This window comes from Homo sapiens, chromosome 12, assembly GCF_000001405.40.
Source record: "Homo sapiens chromosome 12, GRCh38.p14 Primary Assembly".
Taxonomy (NCBI): domain Eukaryota; kingdom Metazoa; phylum Chordata; class Mammalia; order Primates; family Hominidae; genus Homo; species Homo sapiens.
In genome coordinates this window covers 89,734,164-89,760,451 of record NC_000012.12, presented here as the reverse complement: position 1 = coordinate 89,760,451, position 26,288 = coordinate 89,734,164, and the positions used below count along the sequence as shown (strand labels likewise).

At 36.7% G+C, this 26,288-nt stretch overlaps 1 long non-coding RNA gene and 2 pseudogenes across 1 annotated transcript in view; all 3 read right to left on the bottom strand.

The window, feature by feature from the left end:
* LOC107984543 (uncharacterized) overlaps positions 1-26,288 on the bottom strand; it is a 104,864-nt gene that overhangs the window by 56,649 nt on the left and 21,927 nt on the right. The window lies entirely within an intron of this gene.
* On the bottom strand, positions 6,300-6,393 carry RNU6-148P (RNA, U6 small nuclear 148, pseudogene; annotated as a pseudogene).
* Positions 6,585-7,543, bottom strand: MRPL2P1 (mitochondrial ribosomal protein L2 pseudogene 1; annotated as a pseudogene).

Genomic DNA, 26,288 nt, shown 5'->3' with positions numbered 1-26,288 from the left:
TCAAATGTGTTTAATTATTTTCCCTTCCCCCCCAAAAACACTATTTTGAAAGGAAAGTTAGCTAACGAATGGAAAATACAAAGTGTGACCACCCAAAAAATACAGAATTGAAACTTTAGTATCACCAAACTAGCTCTTTTGCTTCTCAATAATATGCCATGCCCAGCATCTCTAGTACCTGATCTGCCATTTTATCTGCTATCTGATTCCATGACTCACCTCTTGCTCCTTCTACCACTGCATGGTGGTATCCACAGTGGAGCACACTGGTTTCAGAACACTAGAAGTACAGCTTTAGGAGCAGAAGATTCCTAGTCTACAGGCAGTATAGGGAGAAAACGAGAATTCTGTACTCTCCAGTGTAGTAATTAATTCAGTCAAGGATCATCAACGGATGCTAAAACCTTGAACTCAAAGTATTGCTCCACAGATAGCTTATCAATTAAAAAGTAGAAAGTTTACCTTTACAATGAAGAAGTCTGGCAGTAACTATCCTAATCAAGTGACTAAACTCAGTATCACCGACAATGGAGCAACCTGTCATTCACCTGTGTACTCTTTCTGCCAGAAATACTTTAACCTAAATCTAACTATGAGAAAACAATTAAACAAATACAAAATTTGGAACACTTTTTATTACAAGTGACCTAGACTCTTCAGAAAAAAATAATAGCATGAAAAGCAAAAAAAAAAAAAAAAAAAGAGTGGGAAACTATTCTGTAAAAAGAGATGAAAGATCTCAAACTCAAATGCTATACATAATCCTAGACTGGTTGCTACAAAGAAAAACAATACAGCTATAAGTGACATTTGGTGACAGTTATGGAAATTTAAATATAGAGGTTATATTAGGTGATGGTTTGGATTATTATTATTAGTTTTTTTAGGTACGAAAAGATGTGTTTTTTTAGGTACGAAAAGATGTGTTTTTTAGGAGAATATCCTTAATCATTTTGTAAGCAAATTTCAACTTTAATTTTAGATTCAGGGAGTATGTGTGCAGGTTTGTTACATGGGTAAATTGTGTGATGCTGAGGTTTGGGGTACAATTCACCCCATCACTCAGGTAGTAAGTAGTTAAGTTTTCAAACTTCCACCCCCGGAGTAGTCCCCAGTGTCCATTGTTGCCATCTTTATGTCCATGTGGACCCAATGTTTAGCTCGCACTTATAAATGAGAATAGGCTTTCTCATTTATGGTTTTCTGTTTCTGCATGAATTTGTTTAGGATAATGGCCTGTAGCTGCATCCATATTGCTATAAAGGACATGATTTAGTTATTTTTGTGGTTGCATAGTATTCCATGGTATGTGTGGGTATACATATATGGCATATATACATATATACGTGTGTGTGTATGTGTGTGTGTGTGTATATATATGTACATATATATATGTAATATTTTCTGGCTGGGTGTGGTGGCTCATGCCTGTAATCCCAGCACTTTGGGAGCCAAGGTGGGCAAATCACGACGTAAGGAGTTCGAGACCAGCCTGGCCAACATGGTGAAATCCCATCTCTACTAAAAATACAAAAAATTAGCTGGGTGTGGTGACGGGCATCTGTAATCCTAGCTACTTGGGAGGCTGAGGCAGGAGAATCTCTTGAACCCAGGAGGCAGAGGTTGCAGTGAGCCAAGATTGTGCCACTGCACTCCAGCCCGGGTAACAGTACGAGGCTTCATCTTGAAAATATATATATATATATATATACACACACACACACATATTCATATATACACACACATACATACGTATTTCTATATACATATATACATATATACGTATTTATATATACATATATATACATATATATATACACATATACGTATTTATATATACATATATATACATATATATATACACACACACACACACACACATAGTGTTTTATCCAGTCCACCACTGATGGGCACCTAGGTTGATTCTATGACTTTGCTATTATAAATAGTGCTATGATAAACATACAACTCCATGTGTATTTTTGGTAGAACAATTTATTTTCTTTTGGATATATACCCAGTAATAGGATTGCTGGGTCAAGTGGTAGTTCTTTTTTAAGTTCTTTGAGAAATCTCCAAACTCCTTTCTACAGTGGCTGAACTAATTTACATTCCCACCAACAGTGTATAAGTGTTCTCTTTTCTCTGCAGCCTCACTGGCATCTATTGTTTTTTGACTTTTTAATAATAGCCATTCTGACTAGTGTGAGATGATATCTCATTGTGGTTTTGGTTTACATTTCTTCTGATTAATGATGTGGAGCACTTTTTCATGTTTGTTGACCAATTGTGTGTCTTCTTTTGGGAAGCGTCCATTCTGTCTTTTGACCCCTTTTTAATGTGGTTATTTGTTTTTGGCTTACTGAGTTATTTAAATTTCTTATAGATACTAGATATTAGACCTTTGTTGGATGCAGAGTTTGCAAATATTTTCTCTCATTCTGTGAGTTGTCTGTTTACTCTGTTTATAGTTTTTATTTTGTTTTTGTTTTGCTGTACAGAAACTCTTTAGTTTAATTAGGTCTCATTTGTCCATTTTTGTTTATGCTGCAATTGCTTAATCATAAATTTTTTCCCAAGGTCAGTGGCCAGAATAGTGTTTCCTATGTTTTCTTCTAGGATTCTAATAGTTTGAGGTCTTACATTTAAAGCTTTAATCAACCTTGAATTAATTTTTGTATATGGTGAAAGGTAGGTATCCAGTTTTATTCCTTTGCATATTGCTAGCTAGCTATCCCAGCACCATTTATTGAATAGGAAGTCCTTTCCTCATTGCTTATTTTGGACAGTTTTGTCCAAGATCAGATGGTTGTAGGTGTGTGACTTTATTTATGGGTTCTCTAGAATGCTCTTATTCTTAAGGGATGCAGGTTAAACATACTTGGATGTGACAGAATTCCTGCAATTTACTTTTTAAAAAGTCACTAAAAAACTCCCGTGTGTGTTTGTGTGTATGTGTATGTGTGTGTTTGTAAGGACATAAATCAAATGTGGCACAATAATCAGTTAGTGAAATAGGTTAAAAGTATGCTGTGTTCATTGTACTGTACTATTCTAACATTTTTGTAAGTTTTTAAATGATCAGTGAAAGTTGGGTGGCAGGGAATATTGAGAAATTGTTGGCATTGAAGTCAGAGAACCTGGAAGTTGAATTCATGTTTTTATCTTGGGCAAGCCACTCCCGACTTCCGAGTATGAAAGGGATAACCTCACTGACCTATTCCTTAAGACTGCTGTGAGGATAACAATCTAGGCCCAGGGGTATTTGTAAACTAAAAATCACTGCAGGGTTCTCAATCTGGAGTCCAAGGACAGAAGACAGATTCCATGAACTTGGATGGGAATCTCACTACCCTCTAACTGCAATTTAACATTTCCTTCAATTACACACATTAGCATAAGTTAACATGTCATCTATTTGTTCATAGTAACAGCTCAATATTGTTAGCTGTTATGATTACAGTTAATTTTCTTAAGTTGCACAAGTGACAGTCATGAAAAACATGAGTCAGCAACAGAGCTCTTACAATCTTACATCCTCTTTTTTCTTCCACATCTAAAGGACACGCCTACTCTGAGCCAATACTATGTGAAAGATACTATACCGTTGACTCATATTTTCCATGGCCCTCACTTGTGCAACTTAAAAAACCAAATTGTAATAACAGAGTTTACTCAATGTGTTCAAAACTGAACTCCTGATCTTCCCCCTAAAAAAACTGCTCACTCAAAGCCTCTCCCATGATGTCATTCCAACAGTCCAGGTGCTCAAGTCAAAAACTTTAGAGTCATCCTTGACTTTTCTTTTTTCCACCCTACCTCTAATCCTTTAGGAAATTCTGTTGGCGCTACCTTTAAAATATGTAAAAATCTGACCATTTCCCACCACGAATACTGCTACTGCTCTAGTCCAAGCCACCACCATCTTTCACCCAAAGACTAATACAACAGCCTCCTAAGCAGGTACCCTGCTTCTTCACTTGAGTCTATTCTCTCTGTAAATAATTATCCTTTTAAAATATGTCACATCATCCGTTCTCCTTTTTAAAACTTTGCAATGGTTCCCATTTCTCTCAGAGTAGAAACCAAAGTCCTTCCAACGATCTCAAGAACCCATATGATCTGACTTCCCTTTACCACTGTAACCTCAACTCCTACCTATCTCTCTCTGCCCCCACCCTGTCCCAGCCACACTGGCCTCCTTGACATCCCTAGAACGTGCCAGGCATGCTCCTACCTAAGGATTTTTGCACTGGATGTTCTCACTGCTTTGGAACCCAGATATTTATGTAGCTAATTCCATCATCTCCATGTCTTTGATCAAAGAGTAAGAGGCCTACTCTGACAATTCTTTTTAAAACAGCAACTAACCTAGAGATGCCTAATCCCCCTACCTTTCCTCTAGCACTTATGACCTTCTAATGTATAAATAATATAATATGTAGTGTCTATTGCCCCGTGCTAGATTATGAGCTCCATAGAGGGCAAAGGTCTTTTTTTGTTTCCTCATGTTTTTTTAAATTATTTATTCATTTATCTATTTTGTTATTGTTTTGTTTTCAATTTTTATTGTGCTTAAATATACATAATATAAGATATACTATCTTAACTATTTTTAATGTACAGTTCAATGGTATTAAGAACAGTTATGGCTGGGTGCGGTGGCTCATGCCTGTAATCCTAGCACTTTGGGAGGCCGAGGTAGGAGGATCACTTGAGGTCAGGAGATTGAAACCAGCCTGCTAACATGGTGAAACCCCATCTCTACTAAAAATACAAAAAAAAAAAAAAAAAGAGCCAGGTGTGGTGGCAGGTGCCTGTAATCACAGCTACTCAGGAGGCTAGGGTACAAGAATCGCTTGAACCCAGGAGGCAGAGGTTGCAGTGAGCCGAGATCGAGATCACGCCACTGCACTCCAGCCTGGGCAACAGAGTGAGACTCCATCTCAAAAACAAAACAAACAAAAAAAAGCCAACAGTTATATTGTTGTGCAACCACCATCACCATCCATCTCCAGAACTCTTTATCTTATAAAACTGAAACTCTAGAGTCATTAACAAATAACTCCCCATTGCCATTCACTCATATTTTATTATTATAGCACCTAGAAGTGTTTATTACATAGGTGCTTAACAAATTTTTGATGACTAAATGAATGAATGCCTCTTGTAAAACTTCAAATATCATCTCCTTAGGGAAAAATCCCAAATTTATAATATAAGTACATAGATTTTATCCCAGATTCTCTGTTTTATATAAATTATTCCCATCTCTATACTGTTTGAAGCATTAGCTATGCCTCTTGCACATGTGTAATCTCCGGTATCATTAACATGTAATCTTAGACGTAGCAAATGTTTACTATTAGACACTGAGGACCACTAGAGAGGGAGGGGGATAAATTTTGAAAAACTAACTATTGGGAACTATGTACAGTACCTAGATGATGGGATCAATCATACCTCAAACCTCAGCATCATGCAATATACCCATGTAATAAACCTGCGCATAAACACCCTGAATTTAAAATAAAAGTTGAAATTATTTTTAAAAAGTCCAACAAGAGAACAAATGACCGAAGCCCAGAGCCATGAATGTTGGGTCTCCCCTTACCTCCTAAACCAATCCCTCATGTTTTAGCTCCTCCTCTGTGGTCCCAAGTTGGCCAGTATGTGTTAAAGCCAAGAGGCTCTGAATAGGAAGGGCATAGGTGGCATTTTAGAAAATGCATAGAACTATGTTTTCAATAGTATAAAAAACTAGTTTTTTTTAAAAGTTTTAATTTATGCATAGTAATTATGCATAAATTTTAATTGATGCATACTAATTATGCATAAATTTTAATTGATGCATACTAATTATATATATTTATGGGATACAATGTAATATTTTGATTGCACATGTATGCATTGTGTAATGACCAAATCAGGGTAATTAACATGGCCATCACTTTTAACATTTATCACTTCTTTGTGATAAGAATGTTCAAAAACCTCTCTTTTAGCTATTTTATTGTCATCTCCAGTCTAGTATGCAAAAGAACATGAGAACTTATTCCTCCTATCTAACTGTAAATGTGTACACGTTGACCATCACTCTCATCATCTCTCTCTCCTTCCTACCCTCCCCATCCTCTGGTAACTACTATTCTCCTCTCCACTTCAACGAGAACAACTTTTTAGATTTCAAAAATGAATGAGAGTATGTGGTGTTTGTCTTTCTGTGCCTGGCTTATTTCACTTAACATATTGCCCTCCAGGTTTCTCCATGTTGCTGTAAGTGACAGCATTTCATTCTTTTAAAAATATAACACTTCACGAATTTGCATGTCATCCATACTAATCTTCTCTGTACTATTCCAATTTTAGTATATGTGCTGCTGAAGTGAGCATGATAAAAACAAAGGTTTACCATGAAATATTAATGGCTTTATTTTAAGTGCCTTGAGGGCCAGTGAAAGAGAAAAGATGAGAAGAAGGAGAATCTAATCACTATACTCATACTGGAAACTTGGGGTAAAACAGCAAGTTTCTAAGAGTTCCAGCTGCTCAAGAACCTGCTAGTGCTCTTTTTTTTTTTTTCAGGGGAGGGGGGCACATTATTACAATACAGGGATATCAGCTTTGGGCAGCATCAGAAGGCAGCTTCACATAACTCTTCATGAAGGGTAGTGGCCAAATCTTTCGGCCAGCCCAGCACCCCTTGTGGTGCTGTAGCCCACTGGAAGGCCTCTTGCCCAGCCAACGGTTGTGACCTGCCCTGCCAGTGACCTGTTTGTTATGATCAGTGTTGGATACTCAGCCTACTGTTGCTATGCATGTTTCCAGCACCTGCATCTGCCTCTTAGAGGGCAGCTGGATAACGGTTGTGCCATTCACCTTCCACAGTAGCACACTACACGTCCCTGCAGCTTGGATATACTGGGCACCCCGGCCTGGCTCAATTTCCATGTTGTTGATGAGGGTTCCCACAGGCAGAGCCCCAAGTGGATGTGCATCCCCTTCCTGAGCAGCAACTGCCATTTGGCCTATGTGGTTGGAGTTCAGGATTGTATCTCCAGCCTGCAAGTTTTCTGTGGTGATGATCCAGTGTTTCTGGCTACCCCCAGCAACCAGAGCTATGTCTGCTGACCTACAGGGATCACGGTGGACTTGGATAACCTTCTCCTCAAAGGGTCCTGACTTGGTCTCCTCCTCAGGCCAGAAACACAAAAGTCAATCATGCAATAATGTTGCTTGTGGCCCCTGTCAATACCGTGCACCCAGATCTGGCCTGTGTGGTCTTCACCCCCAGACTTCCTCATCTTCACTGGTTTAATTGTGTACTTGGTATGACTCTTTCAAGGCACAAAGTTGGCACTAAGGGCCATAGAAGTAAGGATTTGGTGGCAGGGGAGCAACATCAAGGCAGAGGGCCATTGGAAGAGGGCATTGTTCATCACCTGGGAGGCAGGGAACAGACTCGGGACAGAAGTGGCAACGGTCGGGGGTGCCAGGCTCAGAGAGTGCAGAGTGCAGGTCAGTGCCCACAGGGCCATCAGGATAGCCAGGGCTCATCACACTCCTGCTAGTGTTCTTGAGAGAAATATTGAGATGGAAAACCTATGAAACCACAATGAATACCCTTCCACCAAAAAGAAAAGGGAAGATGACCTTTTCTTTAGATCCCACCTGAAGTAGGAGAAGGTCAAGATACGTAGAATCCTATTGATACCTATTATTAGTAGGGAAGAAGAAACCATTTAGGGAGACATATGATTGTGTCACTCAAATTCACTTCTACCCATCCTTTAGGAAAGGCTCCAGATTCTTTGGCAGAATGCCTGTAAGCTAAGAGACAGGCTAACAGAGGGATCCTAAAACAGAGCTGTGAGCAGTGGTGAGGAGGAAACCCCTCCACACCTCTCTGAGAACAGCAGTGGTAGCAGCTGCGGTGAGAGGATGGTGGATAGACTGAAGCCAGTTGAGCAGGGGGAGGAGAGTGGAGAGTGACAGTGCAGCAAGAGCAGATCTTTTAACAGCTAAGTAGAGAGAGCATGAGCAAGGGGACATGGAAAGGCTCAGAGGTCCAGGGGCTTAAATAGTCTGATTTTTAAGTTAAACCCTAGAAGCTCTTATTTATCCTCCCCTGCCCTACAGGGCTATTATTCCCAAGAAAGGGGAGGCACAATTAGAGGCACAAACTCAGTGTCTCTTTCTTTTTTTTTTTCTTTTTTTGACGGAGTTTCACTCTTGTTGCCCAGGCTGGAGTGCAATGGGGTGATCTCGGCTCACTGCAACCTCCGCCTCCCAGGTTCTAGCGATTCTCCTGCCTCAGCCTCCCAAGTAGCTGGGATTACAGGCACCCACTACTATGCCTGGCTAATCTTTTCTATTTTTTTTAGTAGAGACGAGGTTTCATCATGTTGGCCAGGCTGGTCTCAAACTCCCAACCTCAAGTGATCCACTCGCCTAGGCCTTCCAAAGGGCTGGGATTACAGGCGTGAGCCCCGCACCCGGCCTGGACTGTCTCTTCTTTGAATCAAAGTTTCAGCCACAAAATGGATCATAGAAGGTCTGTTTGTCCTCACTCACAGATATTCTGTATTCCAAAATTTCACACTGGTTGAATTTTTCATCAAACTGCAGGTTAAACCTCTCAATAAGCTTAGATCTGAAAAGTTGAAACTAATTTCTAGTGGCTGTTGAACAAAAGTAAAACTGTCTCCTTCACATCCCAGACCCTTTTTCCTCTCCCAGTGCCTCTATTTTTAAACACTTCTGTTGTTATATCTAGATGAAAAGCTGTAGGATCTGGGAGGGTAAAGGAGTAGGAAATTGTGTGGTGATATATATATTTTTTAAAAAGAAAAAACTGTGTACTCTCATAGGCTCCTATAACTGGCTACAACCCAAGCAGTGCACAAAGTTATGGAACCCAAACTTGATGGAGCTCAGAAAATTCCTCCAGCATCTCCTTTCATCTGCTTCAAACTTTCTAAAAGATTGACTTATCTTCTTAACCAGCATTTGGTGGCATATCTTCTAATTGCTTATCAATATCTCTAAATCTCTAAAGGACACTTTTTTCCAGTGTTCTCCCTCAGCTCTGAGGAGATCAACTCAGACTCAAGGAAAACACCAGCCAGGCCCACAGCGCCCTGCCAGGGAAGGAAATCTACAGAGAGTTGTGCAAAGCAGGGAGGCACCCTTATCATGTGTTGCAGAATGAAAAAGTTTGAAATTCAGTTTTACTCAATAATTGAATCCTACACTATACTCCCTCCAGAGCCTTCAATGCTATTGAATTCTTCTTAAATTCCTAAAGGCTGAAAGGAAGTTTTGAGAGAGACGAGATTAGTCATTAGGGATGGTATTAAGATTTGGGTAGAATGACAACAGGAACAAGGAGTGAAGGGCCCAAACTGAGAATTTGAAAATGAGTTTTCAAAAAGTACATCTGTTAGCCATTTGTTAAAATATGCATTAGCATACCATATAAATGACTATAAACAATAATAGGGGTCACTATTATTTGCCTTCCTACGAGCCACTCCTAATTTTTTTGTTTGTTTGTTTAAAGAGTCCTGATTTTGTGGCTAGACTTAGGGCATGAATTTAAGTCAAAGCCAGAGGACAGCAAAGTTTTTCTGTAAAGAACCAGGTAGTAAATACACCTCTGTCACAACTAATCAACTTTACTTTTGCAGCACAAAAACAGCCATAGACAATATAAACATGAATGGGTATGGCTGTGTTCCGATAAATCTTTATTCATAGAAACAGGCCCAAGACTGGGTTTCTTTCACAGACCTTAGTTTGTCAACCCCTCAACTAAAGTAGTCACAGAACCTCCATTTCCTTGTCCAAGTGACTGACCTAAGCAGAGGTAAGTGACCTAGTTTATCTCAGTAAGAAGCAAGGCAAGTCTGCCAGGAGGTTTCTGATAAAGATTTTCTTTCATGATAAAAGAGAGGGGATGTAAGGAGAAGGTCTTTTGATCCTTTCCCTCCCTTTCTGCTTTGCACACTTACGTAAGGAAACAATGCTTGAAGCCGTGGCAGCCATCTTGTCCTCTTGAGGCTTTAAGTTGGAAAACAAAAGCCAACAATCTGAGATTGGTGGAATAGAAGAATGAAAAAATCTGAGATCCTCATTAAGTCACTGAACTGCCACCTACCTACAGAATTTCATTAAGAAAACAAAAAGTGTACTGATGATTAAGTCATTGTTGGTCTGGTTTTCTGTTACTTGCAGCTGAAAGCATTGCTAATTGATATATCCACAGAATTTCAAAATGTGAGTGATGTATTTTTAACATTATCTTTAAAGTCTGTTGAAAAGCTTGAAGTATTTTTCTACCGTAGGACTGAGGCATGAATAAAAGAAAAACAAGAATTTTTTTTTTTTTAAGTACAGAATTTCTGTACTTAAACTACAGGAGGTCTGGAAATTGTACCAGAGCTGTCTGTAACCATGGTGGATAAGCTACTGTGCTTATAAAAAGATCATTTTTGGCCAGGCATGGTGGCTCACACCTGTAATCCCAGAATGTTGGGAGGCCGAGGCAGGCGGATCACGAGGTCAGGAGATCAAGACCATCCTGGCTAATATGGTGAAACCCGGTCTCTACTAATAATACAAAAAAATTAGCCGGGCGTGGTGGCACACGCCTGTGCTCCCAGCTACTTGGGAGGCTGAGGCAGCAGAATGGCGTAAACCCAGGAGGTGGAGCTTGCAGTGAGCTGAGATCGTGCCACTGCACTCCAGCCTAGGCAACAGATTGAGACTCCGTCTCAGAAAAAAAGAAAAAAAAATCATTTTTACATATGAGATAATTTTAGGTCGTATATGTATAAGTCAGAGACAATGTATTGATAGTCTGGACCAGGAGTTGGCAAACTACAGCTCGCTTTTATTTGTGAATAAAATTATGTTAGAACATAGCCACATCCATTTATTTAAATATTGTCTATGGCTGTTTTGAGCTACAAAAATACAGTTGAAAAGTTGCAACAGAAAGTTGTAAATGGAAAATGTATAATATACATTCAAAAAGCACTGAGACTTATGAACGTATGTAAAGCGTGATCAGATGATAGAGTACAAAAATGGTGCAAGAGTTCTCTGTCACAGTGTTCAGGGAAGGCCTCACTGTGGAGGTAACATTTGAACTGAGACACGAATAAAGTGAGTGAGTAAATCATGGGAGCATCTTGGGGAATAGCTTTACAGGCAGAGCGAACAAGTGGAAAAGCTTGGTATGTTAAAGGATAGCAGGAAGTCCAGCATGGCTAGAGCAAAGTGAAGGGAAGGATGGTAGTAGATGAGATAGATAGGTAGTAGGAGGCCAGCTCATGTGTGGTCTTATTGGCCATAGAAAAAAAATCTGAATTTTGCTTGCAATAAGTTGGCACTCCATTTGGACGGTGAGTTTGGAGCCAAAAACTAACACAATGTGTTTTTAATTACAAAACATCACTCTAAACCTTCAGTTCTGACTATGATAGAAAAAATGGCCACTGGCTTTATGCTTCAGCCATGCATAACCATAAAACTGGACAAAATATGAAGCAAAAGTTTCCAGGCATTGGACAATCAGGCCTGCATGGCTATAATCCCTGAGTGCAGGAAAACACAAAGTAAACCCTCCATTCTCCCTAGCTTTCTGTCTGAGGGCACTTTCTCAACGCAGCACAGCAAAGTGGAGCCCAAATGTTGAACAGAGTCTTTTGCTAGATGGAGGAAAAAAGAGATTGAATTTGAGGGCTACTAAGGCAATTGAAACTTGTGATGCTTCACTGGTAAATTCCATCAAACATTAAAAAAAAATATCACTGATGTTACACAGACCCTTCCAGAAAATAAAGGAGGAAAGAATAATTCAGAGACCATTTTATGAAGCCAGAATAACCCTGATTTCAAAATCATACAAGAACTTTACAAGAAAATAAAAGTACAGGTAATAGCCTTCATGAATAAAGATGAAAATGATTCTATAGAAATATTAACAAATCAAATCCTGCAATATGTAATTATATATAAGTCCAGCAATATAAGCTACCATCATACTTAATGATAAAAGGCTGAAAGCTTTTGCCCCAAGATTAAGAGAAAAGCAAGGATGTTCTTTCTTGCTACTTCTATTCAGCAAGGTACTATATAGATTCTAGCCACTGTCGTAAGTCAAGAAAAAAAAAAAGAGAGCATACATTTTGGAAAGGAAGAAGTAAAACTGTCTTTATTTGCCACAACATTATTGTGTATATAGATAATCCTAAGGAATCTGAAAAATAAATAAATAAATAAATAAAGCTACTAGAGCCAGAAATGAATTAAGCAAGTCCACGTGATATATCAATGTTCAAAAAACTAATAACATTTCTATATATTAGTAACAAACATTAAAAATAAGAATATTTAAATATACCATTTATAATAGTAACAAAAATATATAAAATAGGGAGAAATTTAATAGTTGGTGTATAAGACCTCCCCATGGAAAACTAAAACTCATTTCTGAGAGAAATTAAGCCTAAATAAGTAAAGAAATAACCTATGTTCATGAATTGGACAACTCATATTGTTAAGATGGCAATTCTCCCCAAATTTAATCAATAGACTAAAATGTAATCTGAATCAAAATTCCAGGGAATTTTTTTTTTTAATAAAGCTTGACAAGCTGCCAGGTGCCTGTAATCCCAACACTTTGGGAGGCTGAGGTGGGTGGATCACTTGAGTCCAAGAGTTCAAGACCAGCCTGGGCAACTTTGTGAAACCCCGTCTCTACAAAAAATACAAAAATTAGCCAGGTGTGTTGGCATGTGCCTGTGGTCTCAACTGCTAGGGAGGCTGAGGTGGGAGGATCCCTTGAACCTGGGAAGTCGAGGCTACAGTGAGTCGAGACTGTACCACTGCACTCCAGCCTGGGTTGCAGAGCAAGACTTTGTCTCAAAAAAAGAAACGTAATTGACAAGCTGATTCAAAAATGTATATAGAAATGCAAACAACCTAAACTAGCTAAAATTATCTTGAAAAATGAGAAAAAAATTGAAGAAGTTACATTAATTGATTTCAAGACTTACTAGGAAGCAACAGTGGTCAAAAGAGCGTAGTATCAGTGTAGGGATACACAAATATACCAGTGGAACAGAATAGAGAGTCAAATAAAGCCACAGTTACTTGGTCAACTGATTTTTGACCAAGGCATCAAAAACAATTCAGTGAAGAAACAAAATTCTTTTTTAAAAATGTTGCTGGAAAAATTGCATATCTCTATGGAAATAAATAAATCTTAAACCTACCTCATATCATATGCAAAACTGTATTCAAGATGGATCAAATACCCATATGTAAACTAATGCTATAAAGTTTCTGGAAGAAAACATAGCAGAATATTTGTATGACATAGGATAGACAAGAATTTTGTAGCACAACACAGAAAATATAACCATAAAATAAAAATTTGATAAATTGGTCTTCAACAAAATCAAAAACTTGTGCTTGTCAAAGGACACCAACAAAAATAAGCAAGTTACAGACTGGGAGAAAATATTTGCAAAATGTATCTAAGAAAGTACTTGCACTTAGACTCTGTAAGAAACTTCTACAACTCAATAATAAAAAGACATCACACATCCTTTTTTAGCGTGAGGAAAAGATTTGAAAAGAGACTTTATAGAGGACAAATATGAATAGCCAATAAGCACATAAAAAAGGATTCAACATTGTTAATCAAGAAATGGAATTTAAATCAAAATTAGATTGCACTACCTACCTATTAGAATGGCTAAAGTTAAAAAGACTGACAATATCCAATGTTGCAAAGAATATGAAATGGTCTGTACCCCCATAAATCATCAATGGAAGAGTAAAATGGTACAATCACTTTTTAAAATGGCTCGGCAGTTTCTTATGAAGTTAAACATATACCTACCCAATGACCTAGAATTTCTACTTCTAGATATTTACTCAGGAGAAATAAAAGCATATGTTCACAAAAACACTTTTATACGAATATTTATAGCAACTTTATAATAGCCAAAGACTGAAAACAGCCTAGGTACTCACTAATAAAAGAATGATAACCAAATTATTGTGCAGTTGTGCAGTGGATTAGTACTCAAAAATACAAAGAAACATAACCAATACACACAACCATATGAATGAATCTAAAAAAATTATACTGAGTTAAAGAAACTAGACACAAAATAATATATAATTAGTGATTCTAGAAAAAGCAAAACTAATCTAATAGAAATCAGAACAGTCATTGTCTCTTGTGGGTGGAGTGGGAACTGACTAAAAAGGGACATGAGAGAACTTTCTAAAATGATAGAAAGGTTTATATCTGCCTTTGTTAAAACTCACAGAATGGTATATTAAATATATGTGTTTATCACTACAAATTATAGTATAATTTTAAACATAAGAAAAAAATTAGTTGATATTTGGGGACAGACTGGGAGAGCTGAGGGATAGATGCAGGAAACAAGTTAAGTGGCCATTGCAGTAGTTTCCAGAGATGATGGTGGCTTAACCTGGGAAGCACTGACAGTAGATGTGATCAATTTGGGGTATATTTTTAAAGCTGGAATTGCAGAACATCTGAATTGTTTGGTGGTGGTGTATAAAAGAAAGAGAAGAAACAATTGTATCGTTACAAGTGAAAGCTCACACACCCCTTGAAAAGAAGGGAGGTAACAGAAAAAAGTAAAACAAGCAGATACTTACATTACATTTCATTATTTACATGTCAATTTTTTGTATGTAATCAATCTTATATCAAAAAGATAATGAAGGAGACTTCTACTTCCAGTGAAAATGGAGTAACACAGACCAGATTTACCCTCCCACCTGAAACCATTAAAAAACCAGACAAAATATATGAGAATGGTTTTCAAGACATTAAACACCAGGCAATGAAAGGCAGTGATTTCTGAGAGACAAGAGACAAACAAGTTGAGCCCTGTTATTGCCCCAGCTTACTGGCTAAAAAAGTTTCTAGGTCATGACCCAGTGGGAGAGAAACGAGTAGAGATTTGCGGTCTTCCTGAGTTAAGGTAATATAAGCAACAAATGAGATAAAATGAAAGCATAAAATAATATTCAACATGAAATAAAAACAAACCAAAAAAAAAGGAAAAAGAGAAGTGGAAAACAGATGAAGAAAATTGAAATAGTTACAAGGCAGATTTAAACCCAACCATACCAATAATCACATTAAATGTAAATGTCCTAAACATCCTAAGTTAGCAGCCAAAATGGCCAGTTTGAGTACAACAGCAGAATCCAACCACTTGTTTACAGAAACCCACTTTAAATATAAAAAACATAAATAGGTTAAAAGTAAAACAATAGGAAAAGATACACCATGATAACACTAAACAAAAAAAGGTGAAGTGGCTATATTAATATTAGACAAAGTAGATTTTTTAGAACAAAAATATTATCAGAGATAAAGAAGGTCATTCCATAATAAGAAAAAGCATTGATTACATTGGATATATATATATATATATATATATATATCAGGAGGATATAACCACACCACACTTTTATGCACCTGATAACAAAGCTTCAAAATCTATGAAGCAAAAAACTGATAGAGCTCCAAGGAGAGTAGTCAAATCACAATTATAGCTGGAGATTTTGACACCTCCCTTTCAATAATTAATCAAATTAATGGATAAAAGCAGTGCAAATAGGGAAGACTTGAACAACACTATAAAACAACTTGACCTAATTGGCATTTATAGAATACTGTACCCAACAAAATATAATTTTAAAAAATTATTGTTTAAAAAGCAGATGTAAATACATAGCAGTCAGAGGGTGCTGAGAACAGGCATAACGGTTCCACACAATCTAATCCACCCTGAGGATAATATCAGATACAATTGTATTAGTTAATAACTTGTCTGGCTATAAGAAATAGAATGCAGAACCAATAGTAGTTTACATAAATAGGATGCCATTTTTCTTATATAGTAGCAATGAATCAATATTGTCAAAGACAAAAATCTATGCGATTCTATTAGCCTTTCTCCCAAAAATATTGAATCATTAAAAATGTTTTTAAAATATTTTTAATAACCCATGTGTCCACTTGCTATTATCTCCACAATTCAGTGGGGGAAAGAAGCTGGAAAGCAAAAGGGCAATGCAGTTTCAATCCTTACCAGGAGTTAAAAACAAAACAAAACCAAACTTTCCCAGAACACACCTAGAATTCTGCCCAGGTCTCATTGTCCAGAATTGGATCCTATGGTCATACTTACCTTTGAGGGAAGCTGGGAAAGGGAAAAGAAAAGCAGGATTGTTTTGAATGGCCTAATTCAGTGCTTCCTAATACATATATTATGTAAACCACATATGTAATTTACTAGTAGGCATTTTTTAAGTAAAATGAAACAGGTGAATTAATTTTCATAATATATTTTAATCTAACATTTATAATATTATTTCAACAAGCAAATAATACAAAAGTTATTAATAGCATATTTTACATTTTATAGTTTTTGCACTCCAGTGTATATTTTATACTTACAACATATCATTTCAGACTAGCCTTATTTCTTTCTTTTGCTTTCTTTTTTAATTTTTAATTTTTGTGGGTACATAGTAGGGTGTATTATATTTATGGGGTGTATGGGATAATTTGATACAGGCATACAATGTGTAATAATCACATCAGAGTAAATGAGGTATTCATCACTTCCAGCATTTATACTTTGTGTTACAATCTACTTATGCTCTTTATTTTAAATTGTACTATTAAATTATTATTGACTATAGTCACCCTGTTGTGGTACTAGACCTTATTCACTCTTTCCAACTTTTTTTTTTTTTTTTGAGATGGAGTCTTGCTCTGTCGCCCAGGCTGGAGTGCAGTGGCACGATCTTGGCTCACTGCAAGCTCCGCCTCCTGGGTTCACGCCATTCTCCTGCCTCAGCCTCCCGAGTAGCTGGGACTACAGGCGCCCACCACCACGCCTGGCCAATTTTTTGTATTTTTAGTAGAGACGGGGTTTCACCGTGTTAGCCAGGATGGTCCCAATCTCCTGACCTCATGATCCGCCTGCCTCGGCCTCCCAAAGTGCTGGGATTACAGGCGTGAGCCACCGCGTCCGGCCCCAACTATTTTTTGTACCCATTAACCATACTTCTTTGCCCCCACCCAAGCCCCACTGCTTTTCCCAGCCTCTGGTAACCGTCATTCTGCTATTTCCACAAGTTCAAATTGTTTTAATTTTTAGCTCCCACAAATAAGTCAGAACATGCAAAGTTTGTCTTTCTGTGCCTGACTTATTTCACTTAACATAATGACCTCCAGTTCCGTCCATGTTGTTGCAAATGACAGGATCTCATTTTTAATGGCTGAATAGTACTGTTTGTATATATGAACCACGTTTTTATTATCTATTCATCTGTTGGTTAGGTTGCTTCCAAATCTTGGCTGTTGTGAATAGTGCTGGAATAAACATGAGTGCAAATATCTTTTCAATATACTTATTTCCTTTCTTTGAGGGATATATCTAGCAGTGGGATTGCTGAATCATATGATAGTGCTATTTTTAGTTTTTAGAAGAACTTCTATGTTGTTTTTCATGGTGGCTGTACTAATTTGCATTCCCACCAACAATGTACAAAAGTTCCCCTTTCTCTTTATCCTCACCAGCATTTGTTATTGCCTTGGGTAAAAGCCATTTTAACTGGGGTGAGATGATATCTCATTGTAGTTTTGATTTGCATTTCTCTGATGATCAACGATGTTGAGCACCTTTTCATATCACTGTTTGCCATTTCTATTTCTTCTCTTGAGAAATGTGTATTCAGATCTTTTGCCCATTTTTTAATTGGATTATTGTATTTTTTCCTAAGTTGTTTCAGTTTCTTATGTATTCTGGTTATGAATCTGTCGTCAGACACATAGTTTGCAGATGTTTTCTCCCATTCTGTGGGTTGTATCTTCACTTCATTGATTGTTTTCTTTGCCATGCAGAAGCTTTTTAACTTGATGTGATCCCATTTGTCCACTTGTGCTTTGATTGCCTATGCTTGTGGGATATTATTCAAGAAATCTATGCCCTGTCCAATGCCCTGGAAAGTTTCCCAAATATTTTCTTGCAGTAGTTTCATAGTTTGAGGCCTTAGATTTAAGTCTGTAATCCATTTTGATTTGATTTTTGTATATAGTGAAAGATACAGGTCTAGTTTTATTCATCTGTATATGGATATCTAGTTTTCCCAGCACTATTTATTGAAGAGACTGTCCTTTCCCCAATATAGGTTCTTGACACCTTTGTAAAAAATGAGTTCACCATATATGTAAGGATCTATTTCTGGGTTCTTTATTCTGTTCCATTGGTTTATGTGTCTATTTTTAAGCCAGCACCGTGCTGTTTTGGTTATAATAGTTCTGTAGTTTAACTTTAAGTCAGGTAATATGATTCCTCCAGTTTTGTTCTGTTTGCTCAGGATAGCTTTGGCTATTCTAGGTCTTTTGTGATTCTGTATAAATTTTAGGATTATTTTTCTTATTTCTGTGAATAGTGTCATTGGTATTCTGATAGGGATTGCATTGAATCTGTAGATTGCTTTAGGTAGTATGAACATTTTAACAATATTCTTCCAATCCATGAACATGGAATATCTTTCCATTTTTTTCTGTCTTCTTCAATTTCTTGCATCGATATTTTATAGTTTTCATCATAGTGAACTTTCACTTATTTGGTTAAGTTAATTCCTGGGTATTTAACTTTATTTGTAGCTATTGTAAATGGAATTACTTTTTTATTTCTTTTTCAGATTGTTTGCTGCAGGCATATAGAAGTGCTACTGATTTTTGTATGTTGATTTTGTATCCTGCCATTTGACTGAATTTGTTTACCAGATCTAATACTTTTTAATGGAGTCTTTAGGTTTTTCCAAATATAAAATCATATCATCTGCAAACAAGGATAATTTGACTTATTCCTTTCCAATTTGAATGCCATTTATTTCTTTATCTCTTCTGATTGCTCTAGCTGGAACTTCCAGTATATGTTGAATAATAGTGGTGAAAACAGGCATCCTTATCATATTCCAGATCTTAGGGGAAAGGTTTTCATTTTTTCCTATTCATTATGATACTAGCTGTGGGTCTGTCAAATATGGCTTTTATTATATTGAGGTATGTTCCTTCTGTACCCAGTTTTTCGATAGTTTTTTTCATGAAGGGATGTTGATTTTTAGCAAATGCTTTTTCAGAATCAATTGAAATGATCATATGGTTTTTGTTCTTCATTCTGTTAATATGATTTATCACATTGATTGATTTGCAGATATTGAACCATCCTTGCATCCCTGGGATAAATCCCACTTGCTCATGATAAATGATTGTTTTAATGTGTTATTGAATTCAGTTTCCTACTATTTTGTTGAAGATTTTTGCATCAATGTCCATCAGAAATATTGGCCTTTATTTTTCTTTTCTTTTTTTTAAGGTGTCTTTGTCTGGTTTTGGTAACAGGGTAATACCGTCCTCACAGAGTGAGTGTGGAAGTATTCCCTCTGCCTCTTTTTTGGGAATACTCTTATTAGGAATGGCATTAGTTCTTCTTTTAAGTGTTTGGCAAAATTCAGCAGTGATGGCCTTGTGTCCAGACTTTCAGCTGGCAGACTTTTTATTATGACTTTGATCTTGTTACATGTTATTGGTCAGATCAGGTTGTGGATTTCTTCATGGTTCAATCTGTGTAGGTTGTGTGTGTCTAGGAATTTATCCACTTCTAGGTTTTCCAATTTATTGACATATAGTTGTTCATAGTAACCTCTAATGATCCTTTGAATGTCTGTGGTACTGGTTGTAATGTTTTCTTTTTTAATCTCTGATTTATTTGGGTCTTCTCTCTTTTTTTCTTAGTTATTCTGGCTAAAAGTTTGTCAATTTTTTTTATCTTTTCAAAAAAGTTTTTGTTTCTTTGATCTTTTGTATTGTTTTCTTCATTTCAATTTTATTTATTTCTGCTCTGATCTTTGTTATTTATTTTCCACTACTAACTTTGGGTTTGGTTTGCTCTTGCTTTTATAGTTCTTTAAGATATATTGTTAGGTTGCTTATTTGAAATTTTTCTTCTTTTCTTTTTTGATGTAGGCACTTATAGCCATAAACTACCTTCTTAGTACTGCTTTTGCTGTTTCCCATAGGTTTTGGTATGTTGTGTTACCATTATAATTTGCTTCAAGAAATTTTTTAATTTTCTTCTTTATCTTTTCATTCAGGAACCTATTGTTTAATTTCCATGTATTTGTATAGTTTTCAAAATTCCTCCTGTTGTTGATTTCTAGTTTTATTCCATTGTGGTCATAGAAAATACCTGACATTATTTCAATTGTTTTAAGAATTGTTTTGAGGCCTAGGATATGGTTTATTATTGAGAATGATCCATATGCTGAGGAGAAGAATGTATATTCTGCAGCTCTTGGATGAAATGTTCTGTAAATATCTATCAGGTTCATTTGGTCTATAGTGCAGATTAAGTTCAGTGTTTCTTTGTTGATTTTCTGTCTGGATGATCTGTTCAATGCTAAAAGTGGAGTGTTGAAGTCTCTAGCTATTATAGTATTGAGGGTCTGTCTCTTTACCTTTAGCTCTAATAATATTTGCTTTATATATCTGGTACTCCAGTGTTTGAGTACATATATATTTATAATTGCTATATACTCTTACTGAATTGACCCCTTTATCATTATATAATTACCTTCTTTGCCTCTTTTAATACTTCTCATCTTGAAATCAATTTTGTCTGATATACATATAGCTACTCCTGCTCTTTTTTTCTTTTTTGGTTTTCATTGGTGTGGAATATTTTTTCCATCTCTTTATTTTCAGTCTATGTCTTTATAGGTGAAGTGTGTTTCTTGTAGGCAACAGATCATTGGGTCATTTTTAAAAATATGTTCAGCCACTCCATGTCTTTTGGTCTGAGAGTTTAGTCCATTTATGTTCAATGTTATCAATAATATATTGATAAATAAGAACTTACTTCTGCCATTTTATTATTTGTTATCTGTTTGTTTTGTGGTCTTCTCTTTCGTTCTGACTGCTTTATGGTGAAGGTGATTTTCTCTGGTGATATGTTTTAGTTTCTTGCTTTTTATTTTTTGTGTATCCATTGTATGTTTTTAGATTTCAGGTTACTACAAGGCTTGCAAATTATATAACCCATTATTTAAACTGATGACAACTTAACACTGATTGCATAAACATACAAACAAACAAGTAAAAAGAAAACTAATAAAAACTGTAATTTGGTCTCCCTGTTTTTTTTACTTTGTTGTTTCTATTCATATCTTATTGTACTGTTTATGTCTTGAAAACTTGTTGAAGTTATTATTCTTAATTGATATCTTTTTGTCTTTCAACTTAGAATATGAGTAGTTCACACACTACAATTACAGTGCTATAATATTCTCTGTTTTTCTGTGAACTTACTATCACCAGTGAGTTTTGTACCTACAGATGATTTTGATTGCTCATTAACACCCTTTTCTTTCTGATTGAAGTATTCCTTTTAGCATTTCTTGTAGGACAGTCTGTTGTTGATCAAATCCCTCAGTTTTTGTTTGTCTGGGAAATAATTTCTCCCTCATGTTTGAAGGATACTTTCACCAGTATAACACTGTGAGGTAAAAGGTTTTTTTCTTCAACACTTAAATATGTCATGTCACTCTCTTTTGTCCTGTAAGGTTTCCACTGAAAAGTCTACTGCCAGATCTATTAGAGCTCCATTTTATATTATTTGTTTCTTTTCTCTTGCTGCTTTTAGGATCCTTACTTTACTTTGACCTTTGGAACTTTGATTATTAAATGCCTTGGGGTAGTCTTCTTTGGGTTAAATCTGCTTGGTGTTCTATAAACTGCTTGTACTTGAATATTGATTTCTCTAGGTTTAGAAAGTCCTCTGTTATTATCCCTTTGTTTTATGCTTTATGTTTCATTTTATTTATATATTTTATTTATTTATTTATTTTTATTTTTATTTTTTTGAGACGGAGTCTTGCTCAACTGTTACCCAGGCTGGAGTGCAGTGGCACAATCTTGGCTCACTGCAACCTCCACCTCCCAGGTTCAAAGGATTCTCCTGCCTCAGCCTCCCAAGTTGCTGGGATTACAGGTACATGCCACCATGCCCTGCTAATTTTTTTATTTTTAGTAGAGACAGGGTTTCACTATGTTGGCCAGGCTGGTCTTAAACTCCTGACCTCAAGAGATCCACCCACCTTGGTCTCCCAAAGTGCTAGGTTTACAGGCGTGAGCCACCACACCTGGCCTATCCCTTTGAATAAACTTTCTATCTCTATCTTTCTCTCTACCTCCTGTTTAAAACCAATAACTCTTAGATTTGCCCTTTTGAGGCTTTTTTCTAGATCTTGTATATGTGATTCATTCCTTCTTATTCATTTTTCTTTTGTCTCCTCTGACTGTGTATTTTCCAATAGCCTGTCTGCAAGCTCACTAATTCTTTCTTCTGCTTGATCATTCCTGATACAGAAGACTCTGATGCATTCTTCAGTATGTCGTTTGCATTTTTCAACTCCAGAATTTCTACTTGATTCTTTTTATCCTAAATTCCTTCTCTGGGTTATCTTAAATTTCTTTGAGTTTTCTCAAAACAGCTATTTTGAATTCTCTGTCTGAAAGGTCACATATCTCTGTCTCTCCAGGACTGGCCCCTGGTGACATATTTCATTTGTTTGGTATGGTCATGTTTGCCTGGATGGTCTTGATGCTTGTGGATGTTTGTCAGTGTTTGGGCATTGAAGAGTTAGATATTTATTGTAGTCTTCGCAGTCTAGGCTTATTTGTACCTGTCCTTCTTGGGAAGGAAGGCTTTCCAGGTATTCAAAGGGACTTAATTGTTGTTATCTAAGTTTTTGTTTACTGCAGCTGTATCTGCATTAGGGGGCACCCCAAGCCCAGTAACACTAGTTCTTGCACACTTATAGAGGTACTGCCTTGGTGGTCTTGGATAAGATCAGGAAGAATTATCTGGATTGCCAGACAGAAACTATTGTTTTCTTCCCTTACTTTCTCCCAAACAGAGTTTCTCTCTCTCTCTGCTGAGCTGCCTGGGGCTGGGGGAGAGATGTCACAGCACTTCTATGGCCACCACTATTGGGACTGCACTGGGTCAGACCTGCCAACACAGCACTGGGTCTTGCCCAAGGCTTACTATAACCACTACGTGGCTACTGCCTATGTTTCCTTAAGACTTTGGGGCTCTTCAATCAGCAGGTGGTGAAGCCAGCCACAGACTAGTCTTATTTCACATGCTCTGCAGCCACATGTGGCTAGTGGTTAGTATATTAGATATCACAACTCTAGAGCAATCACAGTCAATTGCCTTTGCAACCCCAAGAAAAGGAGGTTTTCTTAATAAGGGAGAACAGAGATTAGAGTGGATATGAAATAGACAACTAAAAATGGCTGTTGCATCAATGCAAACTGGAATTATTACTGGTTTGCTTAAATTTTCAAATAAAAGTATAATTAGGTGATTTCTGTTTAAGAGTATAGGGAAATCCACAAACAAATTTAAAAGTTTTTTGTACAATTTAACTCAAAAAAGTTTAATGTTCTTTAGTAAACTCAGTATTATAGACGGACTCATGTCCCCACACTTTATTCATTCAATAAATATTTATTGATAGCTTTACATTATTTTTCCAATCCCTTCAATGGCTTTGATTTCATTTAAAAAAATTTTTTTTCCTATAAGACAGGATATCAAGCAAACTTTCAAGGGCTTTGATCAGTACTCTGTGACCTCTGGGTCTTTGCATGTGTTATTTCCTCTGAAAGAAATATGCTTCCTCCTAGTCCCATCTTCTCATCCTTAAATCTGGCTGACTCTAACACACCTTTCAGGTCTCAGATTAAATGTTACCGCCTCAGGTAAACACTTTTCTTATCCCATATAATATATTACATACTGTCATGGCCTCCTATCATCCACCTATTATTATCTTCATTACCCTTTACTGTAATTATTTATTTTATTATCTATCTCCCTCACCATGTTGTATGACCCACAAGGTCTGAGATCTTATCTGTTTTGTACAGCAGAATCAAGCAGTCTGCCTGTCCCATGTTTAATATATACTTGCTGAATGAATAAATAAAATGCCATGTCTATACTAAGCTGTGAAAAAAAGTTGAAGATAGACCTCAATATAAATGAATAATACTACAATGTGCTTAAGGCTGCTTCAGAGGCATGAACATGATGCTACGGAATACGGAAGGGATGAGCTTAAACCGAGTCTTGAAAAACATGTTCACCATGGAGTCAAAGTGAGTAACAGCATTCCAGGCAGAAGGGACAGTAGTCTAGCAAGAGACATAAAATCATGAATCAAGGCAATTGTAATTGGGGAGGGTTGTTGGAAATTCAAGATATATTTTTAAAGTAGAATCAACCAGATTTGATGAGAAATTCATTGTGAGTGTTGAGAAAGCAGAAGGTATCCAAGATGACATCCACATTTTTACCTTAGGCAACCAAGCTGGTTACCATACCATTCATTCAGTAGAAATTAAAAGAGAAGTAAATGTTTGGGAAGAGGAGAAAATTAGCTAAGCCTAGATAGAATAAACAGAATTTCAGGGCTTGGGGAAATTCAGAGATATAAATAATAAGAGATCAGTCAGAAATTTGAAGTAGAAGACACATTTGAAAAAATCACTGGCACATGGAAAATAGTCGAAAAGATGAGCACAAATGAAATCAAGCTCACACGCATGAACACCCACAAAATATGGCATGATGATAGCATAGTGTAATTGTTTCTTTAAAAAATATAACATTACTTGAATATCCAAATGAATGATGTTTCTTTCAAACGAGTCACCTCAGGAGGCCCTGCACCCATGCTGGCTTTGCCACTACTACTGTTAAAAATATTTTTGACATTCCTTTTTTGGTCTTTTCATTAAAGTGAACAATATATCCTTTTGAATATCCTAAATACTGGAAAATTCTTATTGTTGCAGGATGAATTTGATTGGGGGAACAGAAAAAAAATTAGGGCTAAGTCTGATGAGTAAGGGGAATGAATGATCATATTCTACAGGATCATTTTGGCTCAAAGGAAAGGAATAGCAAGTAGCCAGAAATATTTTCTTATCAGATATATTTACTGAATCTTAAAGGAATTTTAATTCAAATAGTAGGTATTAGCAATATTTGCATTTGAACTGGTGATCTGAGTACAGCAGATGACTCTCCCCAATGTGAACGGGCATTATCCAATCTATTGAGGGTCTGAATAGAATAAAAAGGCAAAGGAAGGGCGAATTTGCTTTCTCTGTTTGAGCTAAGACATCCATTTTCTCCTACACTTGGACACTGGTGTTCCCGGTTCTTGAGATATCTGACTCAGACTGGGATTTACACTATCTGCTCATTCCCTCACACATACCCCAATTCTCAGGTCTTTGGCCTCTGACTAAATTCCACCACTGGCTTTCTTTGTTTCTCAGCTTGCAAACAGCAGATTGTTGGACTTCTTGACCTCCATAACTATGTGAACCAATTCCTATAATAAATCTCCTTTTATATATACATGCCTGTATATACTTATCTTGTTGGTTCTATTTCTCTGGAGAACCCTGGCTAAGACAGTAACCTTCATGAGATCAGTGATCATGCTAAAGTTGTTCATAGATGCATCATTCCCCACTACCTAGAAGAGTTTTTCGCACAGGAGTTTCTTTTAAAATAAATAAATGCATGTTTCTGTTATCCAGTGCTGTGTAACAAATTACCCCAAAATGTAGTGGCTTAAAACAACAACCATTTCATTATATCTCATAATTTTGGGGGTCAGGAATTAAAGCAGGGCTCAGCTGGGAGATTCTTCTGTCAACTAAGCATCTTCAGTGATATCCAGATTGGTCTGGAGGGTCCAAAACAGCTTTCCTTGGATGTCTGATACTTTGGCAGGGATGACTGGAAAACTTGACTTAGCTGGATCTGATGACCAGAGTGCCTACACATGGCCTCTGCAACATTTCAAGGCAGTCAGACTTCTCACTTGATGCTTGAGGACTCCCAGAGAAGCATTCAAAGAGATGTGGACAAAAGATGCAAGACTCCTTTTATTTAGCCTTAAAAGTCCCACTCTGCAATATTCTATTTATCAAGTAAGTCACTAAGTCTAGCATATATTCAAGAGAAGGAAAATCTTCTCAAAGGGTGAATTAGCAAAGAATTTATGGGCATTTTTAATCTTCTACGATGCATGAAAGGAAAAAAAAAATG